We start from the raw sequence: 14,739 nt of genomic DNA, 5'->3' as shown, positions 1-14,739 counted from the left end.
ACTATTAATAGAAATCTGGACTTTGAGGATGCCACCAGTAAGGGCAAAAAAGGAAGTTAGGAACATGTTATTAGAAGGTGGTGAAAGAGAGATCCTTTTTATGTCATGGTAGAAAGCTTAACAACACTATTGCCTTCAGTAACATGGAAAGCAGGATATGCATTGAATGAACTGGGTGATCTAGCTTAGATTTCCGAACAAAGTGTTGAAGTTACTGTCTAAGTTGTTATGTTGTTTATTGTAAAATGTGGGATAAATTAAAGGAATAATGGTAAAATGAAAAGAAATCAGAACTGGAGAGGAGAATTCCAGGAAGATGGTGGAGTGGAAAGTAGCAGAAATTAGTCTCCCTACCTAGATAACATTGTTCTGCAGAAACTAGCTGATGTAACTATTCTGGAACTCTGGAGTCTATTCAAAGACTTGCAACTTCCAGATAAAGGCTTGGACAGTTAATTAATTTTGTTCAATTTCTGTTCTTAATCTGCTAGCTTGCCCACCCACTAGCCCCAGCACAGGCAGTTACACATGTGTTCCAGCAGCAGCTTATACACCACTTGCAGAGACATGGGCAATAAGGGCTCTGTCCTCCAGATATAGAAGATCTGTGCTCTGATGACTGACTGCTACTTCTGAAAGCAGAGGTGGAGACACACAAAAGAGAAGCCATTGTTGCTACTCTCACCACCATTGCTGTAAGCCCCTTCCCCTGTGGCTGAAGCAGTTTCTAGAAGATTTAAAAAGCCAACACATTTCCCCTCTTCGGTTTTCTCTTTTTCCCCTTTTGGGAGCCAGATATTTAAGGACTAGGACATTCAAAAGCAACTATATATAAAAGATAATTTAGAAAGTAATTACACATATTTAGAGAAAGGTGCCAGCTGAGAAAAGGCATAAGAAACCTTAAATTTACTGATCCCAGGCACAGAGACAGCCTATACCAATTTAAAAAAGAAAGAAAAGCAAACTCTGAGAAAGAAGGAGAATCTGATTTCCAGACTTTCCACATTATAAGATTCAAATCTCCAGTTTTCAACAACAGCAACAAAAAAATCACGAGGCATAAAAAGAAACAAAACAGTATGGCCCATTCAAAGGGAAAAACTAAATCAACAGAAAATGTCCCTAAGGAAGACCAGATGGTGGACTTATCAAAGACTTTAAAACAACGGTCTTAAAGATGCTCAAAAAACTAAACAAAAACATGGAGAAAAATGTTTTAAATGTATATGAACAAAGTGGAAATATCAATAAAGAGATATAAAACATTTTTTTAAAACCTCAAAAGTGTTTCAAGGCTAAAAAGTGCAGTATCTGAATTGAAAATTTCAGTATAGGGATTCAAAGGCAGATTTGAGAAGGCAGAGAAAGAATAAGAAAACTTGAAGATAGGACAATTGAAGTTATTAAGTCTGAGAAACACAAAAGACAGAAAAAAAAGTGAATACAGCCTAAGGGACCTGTGGGACACCATTAAGCTGACCAACATGTACGTAATGAAAATCTCAGAAAGAAAAGAGAGAAAGAAAAGGCAGCCAAACATTTCTGAAATTTCATGAAAGACATGAATATAGAAATCCAAGAATCTAAACTGATGCTAATAGGATGAAATCAGAAGCCAGTATCAAGACATACTATAATTAAACTGTCAAAAGACAAAGAATCTTCAGGCCAGGTGCTGTGGTTCACGCCTGTAATCCCAGCACTTTGGGAGGCCAAGGCAGGTGGATCACCTGAGGTCAGGAGTTTGAGACCAGCCTGGCCAACATGGCGAAACCCCGTCTCTACTAAAAATACAAAAATTAGCCGGGTGTTGTGGCTCACTCCTGTAATACCAGCTACGTGGGAGGCGGAGGTTGCAGTGAGCCGAGATTGCACCACTGCACTCCAGCTTGGTTGATAGAGTAAGACTCTGTCTCAAAAAAGACAGAAATAAAAAAGAATCTTCAAAGCAGCAAGACAGAGCAACTCATTACATACAAGTGTTCCTCGATAAGGGTATCAGTAGATTTCTCATCAGAAACTTTGGAGGTAGAAAGCAGTAGGATGATACATTTCAAGTATTGAAAAAAAGAAACTATCAACTAGAATCCTACATCCAGCAAAAATGTCCTTCAAATATGAGGTAGAAAGTAACACATCTCCAGATAAACAAAAGCTGAGGAAGGTCATTACCACTAGAACTGCCGTTCAAGAAATGGTAAAGAGATTTCTTCAGGTTGAAATGAAAAGACACTAGAAGTTAACATGAAACCATATGAGGAAATAAAGGTCTTAGTTAAGGCAAATATAGGCAATTATAAAAACCAGTATTATTGTAACTTTGGTTTGAAACTTCATTTTTTGTTTTCTACATGATACGAGACAAATACAGATATAACCATTGTGACATCAATAACTGAAAGTAGTTATTGAGGGGGACAAAGCTGTACATGAGTAGAATTTTTGTAGTTATTAAAGTTAAGCTAGTATAAATTCAAATTAGAGTGTTATAACATTAGGATGTTAAATGTTATACCCATGATAACAACAAAGAAAATAGCTATAGAAGATACATGAAGGTAAATAAAAAAGGAATTAAAACATCTCATGACCAAAAATAAAAAAAAAATACTAATGCAGGAAATGAGGAACAAAACAGCTATCAGGCATATAGAAAAAATAGCAAAATAACAGAAGGGAGTCCTGCTGTATAGGTAATTATTTTAAACGTAAATGGATTAAATTCTCCAATCAAAAGACAGAGGCTGGCATAATGAATTTTTAAAAAAGTAATCCAACTACAGGTGATCTATAAGAGATTCGCTTTAGATACAAAGACAGAAAGAGGTTCAAAGTAGAGGGATGAAGAAAGATATTCTATGTAAACAGTACCCAAAGGGAGCAGGGGAGCTATAGTAATAAAAGGCAAGATAGATTTTACATTTGAAAAGATTACAGAGAACATAGAATGACATTATGTATTAATAAAAAATTTAATGCAGCAGAAGATATAATAATTATAAATATTTACACACCAGCAATAGAGCATCAAAACATAGGAAGCAAAAATTGCAAAAAGATTAACAGAATTGACAACTTTTAGCTAGATTGACTAAGGAAACCAGATGTCTCAAATAAATCAGAAATGAAAGAGGGGACATTACTACCAATAAAAAGGATTATAAGAGCCAGCAGAGTGACACATGCCTACAGTTCCAGCTACTCAGGAGTCTGAGGTGAGAGGATTTCAAGGAGTTCAGGTCCAGCCTGGGCAATATAGTGAGATCCCACTTCTCAAAAAAAAAAAAAAAAAAAAACAAAAGGAACAAAAGAAAAGGAAAAAGGATTATAAGCGAAGACTATGAACAACTGTATGCCAACAAATCAGATAACCTAGATGAAAGACTTGTGCAATGAAAACTACAAAACATTGCTGAGGAAAATTTATAAAGACATAAATATATGCGAAGATTCCATGTCTGTGAGTTGGAGGGCTTAATATTGTTAAAATTGTCAACAGTACCCAAAATGATACAAAGATTCGATGTAATCCCTATTAAAATCTCAGTAGCATTTTCTGCAGAAACAGAAAAATCATCCTCAAATTCACACAGAATCTTGAGCCAAAACAGCCTAGAAAAAGAAGAGCAAAGGTGGAGTACTCACATTTCTTCATTTCAAAACTTACTACAAAGCTACAGGAAACAAAATAGTGTGGAGCAGGCTATTCTATTCCAAATGATTTCTTAGCTATGACACCAAATGCACAGGCAACAACAACAAAAAATTGGGCCACGCGTGGTGTCTCATGCCTGTAATCCCAGCACTTTGGGAGGCTGAGGAGGCTGAATCACTTGAGGTCAGGAGTTCGAGACCAGCCTGGCCAACACGGTGAAAACCCATCCCTAATAAAAATACAAAAATTAGCCGGATGTGGTGGCATGCACCTGTAATCCCAGATACACGGGAGGCTGAGGCTCGAGAATTGCTTGAACCCAGGAGGCAGAGGTTACAGTGAACCGAGATTGTGCCACTGCACTCCAGCCTGGGTGACAGAGCGAGGAAAAAAAAAAAAGAAAGAAAAGAAAAAATAGACAAGTTGGGCATCATGAAAATTTAAAATTTTTGTGCCTCAAAGCACAGTACCAACAGAGTAAAAAAGCCACCTCCAGTATGGGAGAAAATATTTGCAAATCACATATTTAGCAAGGGGTTAATACACAGAATATAGAGAGAACTTCTAAAACCCAACAACACACACAAAAATAAACTGATTAGAAAATAGGCAAAGGACTTGGATAGACAGTTCTCCAAAAGATATACAAATGGCCAATAAGCATATGAAAAGATGTTCAACCCCATTAGTCATCAGAGAAATACAAATAAAAACCAAATGAGATACCACCTTCACACACATTAGGATGGCTACTATAGAAAACAAACAACAAAATGGAAATAGACAAATGTCGGCAAGGATGTGGAGAAACTGGAAGCTGTGTACTGTTGGTGGAAATGTAACATGTTGCAGCTGCTGTGGAAAACAGTATGGTGGTTCCTCAGAAATTAAAACCAGAATTACCATATGAACCAGTGATTCTACTTGAGGGTATATACCCCAAAGAATTGAAAGCAGAGTCCTGAAGAGACATTTGTACACCCATGTTCATAGCAGCATTATTCACAATAGCCAAATGGTAGAAGCAACTTCAGTATCCATTGATAGGTGAATAATGTGGGGTGTGTATATACACACACATATACATATATGTATACATATATATATATATATAGAGAGAGAGAGAGAGAGACATACACATACATACATACATACACAATGGAATATTATTCAGCCTTAAAAAAGATGGAAATTCTGACATGTTACTACTTGGATGAACTTTGAGGACATTATGCTAAGTGAAGTAAACCAGTAACTAAAAGACAAATACTGTATGATTCAACTGATATCAGGTACCTAGAGTAGTCAAATGCATAGAGACAAAAAGTAGAATGGTGGTAGTCAAGAGCTGGAGGAAGGAATGGGGAGTTGCTATTTAATGGGTACAGAGTTTCAGTTTTTAGGATGAAAAGTATTGTGAAGATGGATGGTGATGATGTTTGCATAACAATATGAGTGTACTTAATACCAGTAAACAGTACACTTAACAATGGTTAAGATGGTAAATATTATGTGTATCTTACCACAATTTTTAAAATTTTTTAAGAAATCAGGACTTGATGTTTTTGAAAATTCTAAACTCTCCAGATTTAGAAGATGCTAACATTAAGAAATAGCTCCCGGCCGAGCATGGTGGCTCATGCCTGTAATCCCAGCACTTTGGGAGGCCAAGGTGGGTGGATCACCTGAGGTCAGGAGTTCAGGACCAGCCTGGCCAATACGGTAAAACCCCGTCTCCACTAAAAATAGAAAAATTAGCTGGGCGTGGCGGCATGTCCCTGTAATCCCAGCTACTTGGGAGGCTGAGGCAGGAGAATTGCTTGAACCCGGGAGGCAGAGGCTGCAGTGAGCCAACAATGCACCACCACACTAAAGCCTGGGCAACAATGACACTCCATCTCAAAAAAAAAATAGAAATAGCTCCCAAGAAAAGTTCATACTGTGGGCACCACCAGGAGAACCCTGGTCTAAAGATGACACTAAGAATGTGACTGTAAAAACTTCTGTTATATTAAGAAAGGTAAAAAGTGGTACCATCAGAGTACTATTCAGTCACACAAAGGGCCTTTGAAAAAGATTAAGGGTATGCTTCATAGATCCTCTCAAACAGTAAGGCCTTCAGAAAACTTATGTGCCTTGACCCTCAAACTTTTAAGCAGGAACCGAAGGTAAAGAAAGACTTATCGAGAAAAGATTTCTGGTTTGACTTTTGTGTAATGGAGTAAACCCTAATAAGAGTCACAGGAAGCCCACAAGGTTTTTGCAAGAATTTTATCAGGAAGAACTCAGCCAGCTTGAACTGAAAAGCACAGAATGAAAAGTACAGCATGAAATGAAAAAAGACTATTAGACTGCCAATATGAATGACAAGTAAAGAAGGTCGAGGCGATTTCTCAACTGTAGCATGTGCTACCTTTCTTGCAAAAGGAAAGGTAACTCTGAGAGTGAAACCTGAGCCCAAGGAGCAGAGCTGAAGGCCATGAAGAATAATTCCTAGGTCTTGAGACCTAATCAAAAAGCTTCTAACACTGGAAGGCCAGGAGTGGTGGTTCATGCCTGTAATCTCAGCACTTTGGGAGGCTGAGGTGGGTGGATTGCTTGAGCTCAGGAGTTCAAGACCAGCCTGGGCAACATAGCAGAACCCTGTCTTTACAAAAAATATAAAAATTAGCCAGGCATTGTGGCATGTGCCTGTAGTTCAGGCTACTCGGGAGGCTGAAGTAGGATGATCGCTTGAGCCCAGCGGGTCAAGGCTACAGTGAGCCATGATTGTACCACTGCACTTCACCTGGGCAACAAAGTAAGAACCTGTCTCAAAAAACAAACAATTTCTCACATTGGAGTAACTGGCTTTCAGAATTGCACTGGACCTTTATGCCTCCCATTTCCTCTATTCTAAAACAAAAATGTCTAAAATGGTTATCCTTTGTCTGTCTCACTACTGTATGTTGGGCTTGGTTGGGGAGGACTTTTACAGATTGAGCAGAGCTGCAGAGGAACTACACCTGAGGCGCCTCATCTACACCTGGACATTATTTAGGTGATGAGATTCTGAACTTTAAGCTGATCATAATTGGATTAGACTTTGGGGGACTGGGAAGGAGGATGAGAGTATTGCATGGATGAGGAACATGATCACTGGGGACAGAAGGAAGACTAGAGTAGACAGCCTCTAAAATAGTCCCCGGAATTCCACAGTTTCTCGTATTTATGCCCTAGGCAATCCTCTCCCCTTGATTATGCACTGTACCTACTGACTCTTCTAACCAAAATAATATGGCAAAAATGATGAGATGTCAGTTCCATGTTAAGTTATAAAAAGACTGGTTTCCATCTTGCTTAAATTCTCTCTTGCTTTTTCCCTCACTCCCTCTAAGGAATACCAACTGTCACACTGTAGGCTGCCTGGCAGAGAGGCCTACATGTCCCTGGGCAGGAACTCACGTCTCTGTTGAACAGTCGGTAAGGATCTGAGGCCTGCCAAGAGCCAGGAGAGTAAGCTTGTAAGCAGATCCTCCCCTAGTTGAACCTTAGGATGACTGCAATCCTGGCTGATACCTTAATTGCAGCCTTGTGAGAGAGACTGACCCAGAGGACACAACTAAGCTGAGCCTAGATTCCTGATCCAAAGAAACTGAAATAATAAATGTTTGTTGTTTGATGTTGCTAAGTTTGGGGGTAATTTGTTATACAGAAATAGAATTAATACAACCACAATGAAGGTTTAGCAATCCAATGATGGCAAAAAGTGTTCTTGATAAAAATGTCTTTAAATTTTTTAAGTAATTTTAAGTTTTAAGAAAGTTAAATTTTTTAAACAATTTGTAATATTCATTTTAAATATGTATCTAATATACATATTATATTCATATTACACATACATATATTTTAAGAACTTTGGGACATTTACAAAAGTTAACTCTATATTAGCCCTTAAAAAAACAATACATTCCACAAAGTATCATAAAACTAGTACAGATAAAATTATCTGATCAAATGGGGAAAAACACCCTAGAAATATTTTTACAACTTTCTTAACAAAGGACAAAAGGAAATCAAGTCCAAAATTACACAATTTCTTTAAAAAAAAAGATAGCAGAAAAAGATTTATCAGAAGTTATAGATAACCAGAGGATAATATGTAACATTAGTTAAATATTTATGTTCATTTATGTTATTCACATAGGAATAAAAGTTTAAGTTTCCAATTCAAGAAATTGGAGGGCACCAACAAACCATTTAGCTAATAAGTAGTTTAAACAAGAAAAAAGAAACATAAATAAACAAAAAAAAATTAGAATGTGGAGAGAACAGATTCAGATAAAATATAAAACAAATTATAACTGATTGCTTTTCTCAACTCTACATATTTATTTATTTTAAGACAGAGTCTCTGTCACGTAGACTGGGGTGCAACAGCATGATCATAGCTCACTGCAGCCTTGAACTCCTGGGCTCAAGTGATCCTCTTGCCTCAGCCTCCCAAGTAGCTGAAACTACACATGTGTACCATCACGCCCAGCTAATTTTTAAATTGTTTTGTAGAGACAGAGTCTTGCTATGTTGCCCAAACTCGTCTTCAGCTCCTGGCCTCTGGAGATTATCCTATCTTGGCCTTTCAGAGCACTGAGATTTCAGGCATAAGCCATAGCTCCTGGCCCCTGAAACCATTATTAAAATGGATGTATTTTTAGGAAAATATAAATAATAAAAATCTAGCTCCAGAGAAGACAGCAAATCTAAATGGACAAATTATGATACAAAAAAAATTTTGATCGTCAGAAAGCTACACCTCAAAATGCACCAGGCCAATAAATTTTTAGTAGTTCACTTTCACTACTATTACTTAGCACTGTCATGGAAGGAATAGCAAATGCGATTAGGGAAGAGAAAGAAAAATGGGGTCTTAAATTGGAAAGGAAGAGGCAATACTTTCATTATTTGTAGGAGACACATGCCTATTAAGCCTCCTTATGTTCTGGAGGCCACACATTCCACAACTAGGTATACTGAGCTCACCTACGTACGTATCAGGCAATATAAGAGGCTGCCAGCTTTGAGTGGGGCTGGGAACAAGAGCTCTTTAGAAGGTACAGGCTGTGATGCAAGTCGCCCAGCCACTTGAGTCATACAATCCAGCAGACCCTATGGTATTATATGTATCAGTTTTGATAAAAAGGGCAGTGTGTTTATAGTAAACTCTAGAGGAAGAATCACAGTGCAGAACCTGGGGTCTGTGACATCTATAGCATAAAATTATATGACTTTTAAAAAACAGCTTCTGGGCCAGGTGGTGGCTCACGCCTGTAATCCGAGCACTTTGGGAGGACTATGTGGGTGGATCACCTGAGGTCAGGAGTTCAAGAGCAGCTTGGTCAACATGGTGAAACCCTGTCTCTACTAAAAATACAAAATTAGCTGGGCATGGTGGTGTATGCCTGTAATCCAAGCTACTGGGCAGGCTGAGGCAGGAGAATCGCTTGAACCCCAGAGGCAGAGGTTGCAGTGAGCCAAGATTGTGCCACTGTACTCCAGCCTGGACAACAAGAGCAAAACTTCATCTCAAAAACAAAACAAAACAAAAACAGCTTCTGATATGATACTGGGACCTGACAGAGATGGAAATTTGACCATGTGACACTTAGTGACCGTATGTCCAGAACTGCTGAACTCAGTAAGTCATAAAGTTAAGATGGCTTGCCAATAATCTATTATAAAATAGAAATACTACATACAGGATAATCACGAGCAGGACCACGGGGCACATGTAAGCTGCATGAGCGGACCCCCCCATCATCCACCACAGTTCACCCAGAATTCTTCCCTAAGTCACACCTATGGCCTACATACCATAACCTATGTACACACATTTATATATACACACATATGTACAACCATGTGAAGGAGGTAGACAAAGCCTGGGTTTTGAGGTAATGAATAGGTTACTCAAGCCAAAAATGAATGGCAGCTGCATTACAACTTCATTGACGGGTGGCCTTGAAAGACAGTGGAGAGGGAAAATCTTTCTGATGGTCCCAGTTCAGGCAATGGTCATCCACCTTGTGTGGAAGGAGTGGGCTTGTGACGAGAGTATGTATGGATTCATGGGCAGTGACAAATGGCTTGGCCTACTAGTCAGAAACACGGAGGACTGAAAGATACAGAGACAAGGACTTCTGGGGTACCAGCATGTAGATAGGCCTATGAGAATTGACATGAATGAAGTACAAAGATTGTTGTATCACACACTAATGCTCATTACAAAGGTACAAGGGTCTTGGCATGTTGCCCAGGCTGGTCTTAAACTCCTGGCCTGAAGCAATTCTCTTACCTTGGCCTCTCAAAGCACTGACATTACAGGCCTGAGCCACAACACCTGGCCCCTGAAAACGTCATTAAAATGAAATTATTATCATGGAAGGAGCATTAAACAATCAAGTAAACAAAATGACTTGGTGAGTTAATATTAGCCAGTTTTTGTCACTGGCCACCCCAGCACAATGGCCCATGAATGAAGTGACCAGAGAGGCAGAAATGGAGGCTATACATGGACTCAGTGGCATGGGCTTTCACTCACCAAGGTTGATATAGCTACGGTTGTCTCTGAGTGTCCCACTTGCCAGCAACACATATCAGTGCTGAGCCTCCAATGTGACAACCAGCCATTAGATGGAAAGTTGATTATGTTGGGCTCCTTTTATCCTCGAAGGGTCCACGGTGTTTTGTTTTGTTTTGGTTTTTTTCCTCACAGCAATTGGTATCCATTCCAGATGTAGGTTTGCCTTTCCTTTCCTCAGGGCCTCAGCCAGCACCACTAACCAGGGATTTAAGGAATACCTGATCGACAGGCATGGAATTTTGGCCTGTTGTGTATTGTTTTTCCTCCTCTCTCTTCCTCGGTATTCAACCCAGACCTTGGCCAGGTAGTCTTGTGTTTATATCTACGCAAGTCATGATCACTCCAATCCAGATGAGGTCTGATAAAGGTATATTAAGATTCTTGTCCCAGGGTGACAATGGAGATAAACCTGATGCTGTCACAAAGCTCACAGACAACCACTTCTGTTCTGATTACGAGGATGTACCTTCCTTCAAATGTACCCTGAAGTTTTCTAAAGTCACAGCCCAGTGTAGTGACCAGAAACTTTGTTTTCCCCTAGCCTTTTTGCCTTTTTTCATGAGAAGAAGATCCTTTTCCCCGGCCCCTGGTTTCATATGGAAATCAGGATTCATGCCCCTTGTTCATATACTTTAAGTACTCCTTATCTCATAGCAGCTAAACTCCCAGCAAATACTGCCCCTTAAAAAAACAAGAAACCCACAACACAGAAGCCCTTTGACTTCAGCTCCACTCATTGTTTTGCTTTTCTGTTCTATATTTGGTTCACTGAGAGATTTATCTGTTTCTGAGATTGTGTCTTTTGGTGTTTTAATATTTCATTGAACATTGCTAAGTATTGGAGTGTTTTATATCATAAACTTATGATTATTGTGATTGAAAACACCCTAAAGGTGGAGTTTAAAATATTAATTGAGGAATGTTTTCAGAGAAGTTTAAAAGCATTTGGAAAAAAATAAAATTGGGTCCCTACCTCATATCTCTTACTAAAACAAATTCTCAATGGATTAAAGATTTAAACTTTGAAATAAAGCTGCTGAAATATTATAAAATACCTTAGGGTAGACAAAAGTTTTTAAAATACAAGTGCTAAAGACATACAAGTGCTAAACATAAAGGGAAAAACTGATAAATGTGACTATATTAAAATTAGAAACTTATGTTCATCAAAAGACACCATTAAGAGAGTAAAACAGCAAGCCACAGACTGGAAGAAGATATTTGCATGATGCATATCCAGTAAAGAACTCATATTCTAGAATATACTTTCTTTTAAACTACTAATCAATAAAAGAGACAAAAAAAAACAAAAAACAAAAAAACAACCAACCAACCCTCAAAAACCTAACCTCATTTTAAAAAATAGGCAAGAAATCGGAAAAGGCACCTTACAATATATGATATCTAAGAATCCAATAAACATATGAAAAGGTGATATATACCGTTTGTCATCACAGAAATACAAACTAAAATCACAATGAGAAACCACCATCCCCTCATCTGAATGTTGGTGAGGATGTGGAGACACTAAAACTCTAAAAAATTGCTGGTGGGAATGTAAAATGGTAAAACCACTTAGAAAACTGGCAATATGTACTAAAGATAACTATAGGCCTAGTAAAGGTCAAATAGATTAAGTCATAGGCCCACTTAAAGTCACATAAAAAGGAAGTAAAAGCAATGTCTATCAGATGTCTGAGGCTTTGTTCTTTACTGCTATTCCTACATAACCCAGGTCTTGTACAAACACACCAATGCCTTAAATGGACTTGATGTCTCTTTCTGGTTCAATGTTATTTGTATTTGTTTAAAATGGAAGACTTTATCACAGCCCAGCCCTTGGTCAATTGTCGCGGTTTATTGAACCTTAATAGGAACCTAGAACTAAAATACCAGGTAAGAATTAGAAGAAGCATCACATAAACTATTAGTGGTTGTTTTTCTGATTTTAAGTTGAATAAAATCCTTCCCAATATACATCAGAATTATTTTTTAAACTAAATTGCCTTGCTACTCTTTCTCTTGGTTGAAATCCTCGGGGTTCAGAATATCCTCAATTCCTAACTCTAATAAAAATTCAAGGCTATGGCCTTGCCTAGTACTTATTTTGTTTCTGATGTCATCTGTCTATCACCTTAGATCGCTGCCTAACCTCATGTTTGTGAGTCTACTAAAGCTGCCAATATGTTATTACTTCAGGATCTCATCTGAAGTCCTTTACCTAGAAATCACCACAGGTTTTTCTTCTAGAAAATGCTTTTCACTCCTGTTGCTCATCAGGATCCAGTAAATCTGCATCACTAGACTAAAATTTATGACCTTTGTGGTCAAAACTTTTTAAAGCTTTTCCAAATCTTTGTCTTTTGGGCAATCCTAAACTGCTGCTTTCACAGCCAGTTGATGGGTTTCCAATCATATAGACACACCACACACGAACACCTGAACATTCCTGGGATAAATAATATTGCCACATTGATCTGCTAAGTTAATAAGTCTTACTAATATTGTATTGGAGCCTAAAACTTATGCATTAAACATTCCATTAAAAAGCAGCAGCATAGGGTGTAGTGGCACATGCCTGTAGGCCCAGCTATTTGGGAGGCTGACGTAGGATTGCTTGAACACAGGAGCTCAAGACCAGCCTGCTAGCCAACACTGTAAGACTCTATCTCAAAAAAAAAAAAAAAAAAAAAAAGCAGTAGCTTAGAAACCATAAAAGTTTAATTTGTATTCATTTATTTAATAATAGTATTATTCACCCTGGAGGTCCCTCAACTAATTAGAAATCTTTTTTAAAACACTGAAAAATTTTAGACAGTACCTAAGGGACAGAAAGAAGACTCAAATTTCAGTCAAAAGCCTGACTATTACAAACAGTTTGCTGGAACAAAGTGAAACAAAGAAATCTCCTCAGATGTCAACCTTTTCCCCAGAGATCAAGAGGCTTGGGCATGGACAGGAGCAAGGAAGAGTACACTTCTGAGCTCTGAATCTGCAGGAGAGCGTTTTCTTGATTGATTAAAGCAGGAAAAAAGGATATGAATTAAAGCAATCTGGCTAAATGAGAGAACAGGTTAGTAATGACTTTTTCCTCCTTAAGAAATTTTATGACGATTCTACACATGTGGGACTGTCTAGGCGTCTCCAGCACAATTTTTTTTTTTTTTTTTGAGACGGAGTTTTGCTCTTGTTGCCCAGGCTGGAGTGCAATGGCGCAATCTTGGCTCACCACAACCTCCGTCTCCCAGTTTCAAGCAATTCTCCTGCCTCAGCCTCCCGTGTAGCTGGGATTACAGGCATGCACCACCACACCCGGTTAATTTTGTATTTTTAGTAGAGACGGGGTTTCTCCATGTTGAGGCTGGTCTCGAACTCCTGACCTCAGGTGATCTGCCTGCCTCGGCCTCCCAAAGTGCTGGGATTACAGGCGTGAGCCACCGTGCCCGGCCTGCACAATTTTCATTCTAGGCTTTGAAACTGTGAAGACTTCTTCCCTATGAACAATGAAGACTAAGCATCCTTAAACTGAAGTTAATGTTCAATTCATATAAGCCATAAATGTATATCATAGATATTGTGACACTGCTTTTTATCAGTTTGGTTCATATTGTGCTATTATATATGCCCTAATGCTCATGTTTATTTTAGAAACTGTGACCCAATGTCCTTTGTTCCTCTTCTAATTAAAAAAAAAAAAAAAAAAAAAAAAAAAACAACAACAAAAAACTGTTCCAAGTCTTAAGTTTCTTACATTTTCCTATGTTTCTGAGACTGCTCTGCCTCACTTGGCGGTGCTCCTTTCTGTCTCCAAACCTGGGTGTAAAGGTTCACAACAGTAAGATTCTGAGTCAGGAACTTAGAATCTGTAGGATGGAACTGGCCAGAAGGGTTTGAGTGAAGGCAGTGGATGTCAGGACCTAAGGCAGAATGACAATAATCAGGGATACCCCAGAACCCACTTTGCCTCTACCTTTGGCCACTTTGGAGAAGAAACTTACAGGTAAACCATTACTGGTATTAATCCTCACTCATTCTTACCAAATAATTGATGTGGTTTCTTTTTTGTTTTTTTTTTTGAGACAGAGTCTCGCTCTGTCGCCCAGCCTGGAGTGCAGTGGCGCAATCTCCGCTCACTGCAAGCTCCACCTCCCGGGTTCACGCCATTCTCCTGCCTCAGCCTCCCGAGTAGCTGGGACTACAGGCGCCCGCCACCACGTCCAGCTAATTTTTTTGTACTTTTAGTACAGACGGGGTTTCACCGTGTTAGCCAGGATGGTCTCGATCTTCCGACCTCATGATCCACCCGCCTCGGCCTCCCAAAGTGCTAGGATTACAGGCTTGACCCACCGCGCTTGGCCTGATGTGGTTTTTTTTTTTAATCTTAGAAGACATAAGGATATTTCTTAGAACCATCAGTGTCCTTATGTTATTCCCATTGTTCTCTTGATCCTTGTCAGAATTC

General features: G+C 38.8%; 1 long non-coding RNA gene across 4 annotated transcripts in view, besides 1 other annotated feature; it reads right to left on the bottom strand.

Annotated features, from left to right (window-relative positions):
• ZFHX3-AS1 (ZFHX3 antisense RNA 1) overlaps positions 1-14,739 on the bottom strand; it is a 156,522-nt gene that overhangs the window by 60,444 nt on the left and 81,339 nt on the right. Inside the window, exon 3 of one of the 4 annotated variants that reach the window (NR_171705.1) lies at positions 14,029-14,090. The exons of the other annotated variants lie outside the window; for them this stretch is intronic. This is a non-coding gene — a long non-coding RNA (ZFHX3 antisense RNA 1). The remainder of the gene's footprint in view (positions 1-14,028; positions 14,091-14,739) is intronic. 4 annotated transcript variants of the gene reach the window in all.
• Positions 8,635-8,804: an enhancer, noted in NCBI's record as "experimental_44255 CRE fragment used in MPRA reporter constructs". NCBI's record gives its function as "activates a minimal promoter by MPRAs in K562 erythroleukemia cells, with activity observed for both the introgressed and non-introgressed 16:72786391 variant alleles {active_cell/tissue: K562}" and the evidence as "EXISTENCE:reporter gene assay evidence [ECO:0000049][PMID:34662402]".

This window comes from Homo sapiens, chromosome 16, assembly GCF_000001405.40.
Source record: "Homo sapiens chromosome 16, GRCh38.p14 Primary Assembly".
In the NCBI taxonomy this organism is placed as follows: Eukaryota; Metazoa; Chordata; class Mammalia; order Primates; family Hominidae; genus Homo; species Homo sapiens.
This window is presented reverse-complemented; position numbering and strand designations above follow the sequence as displayed.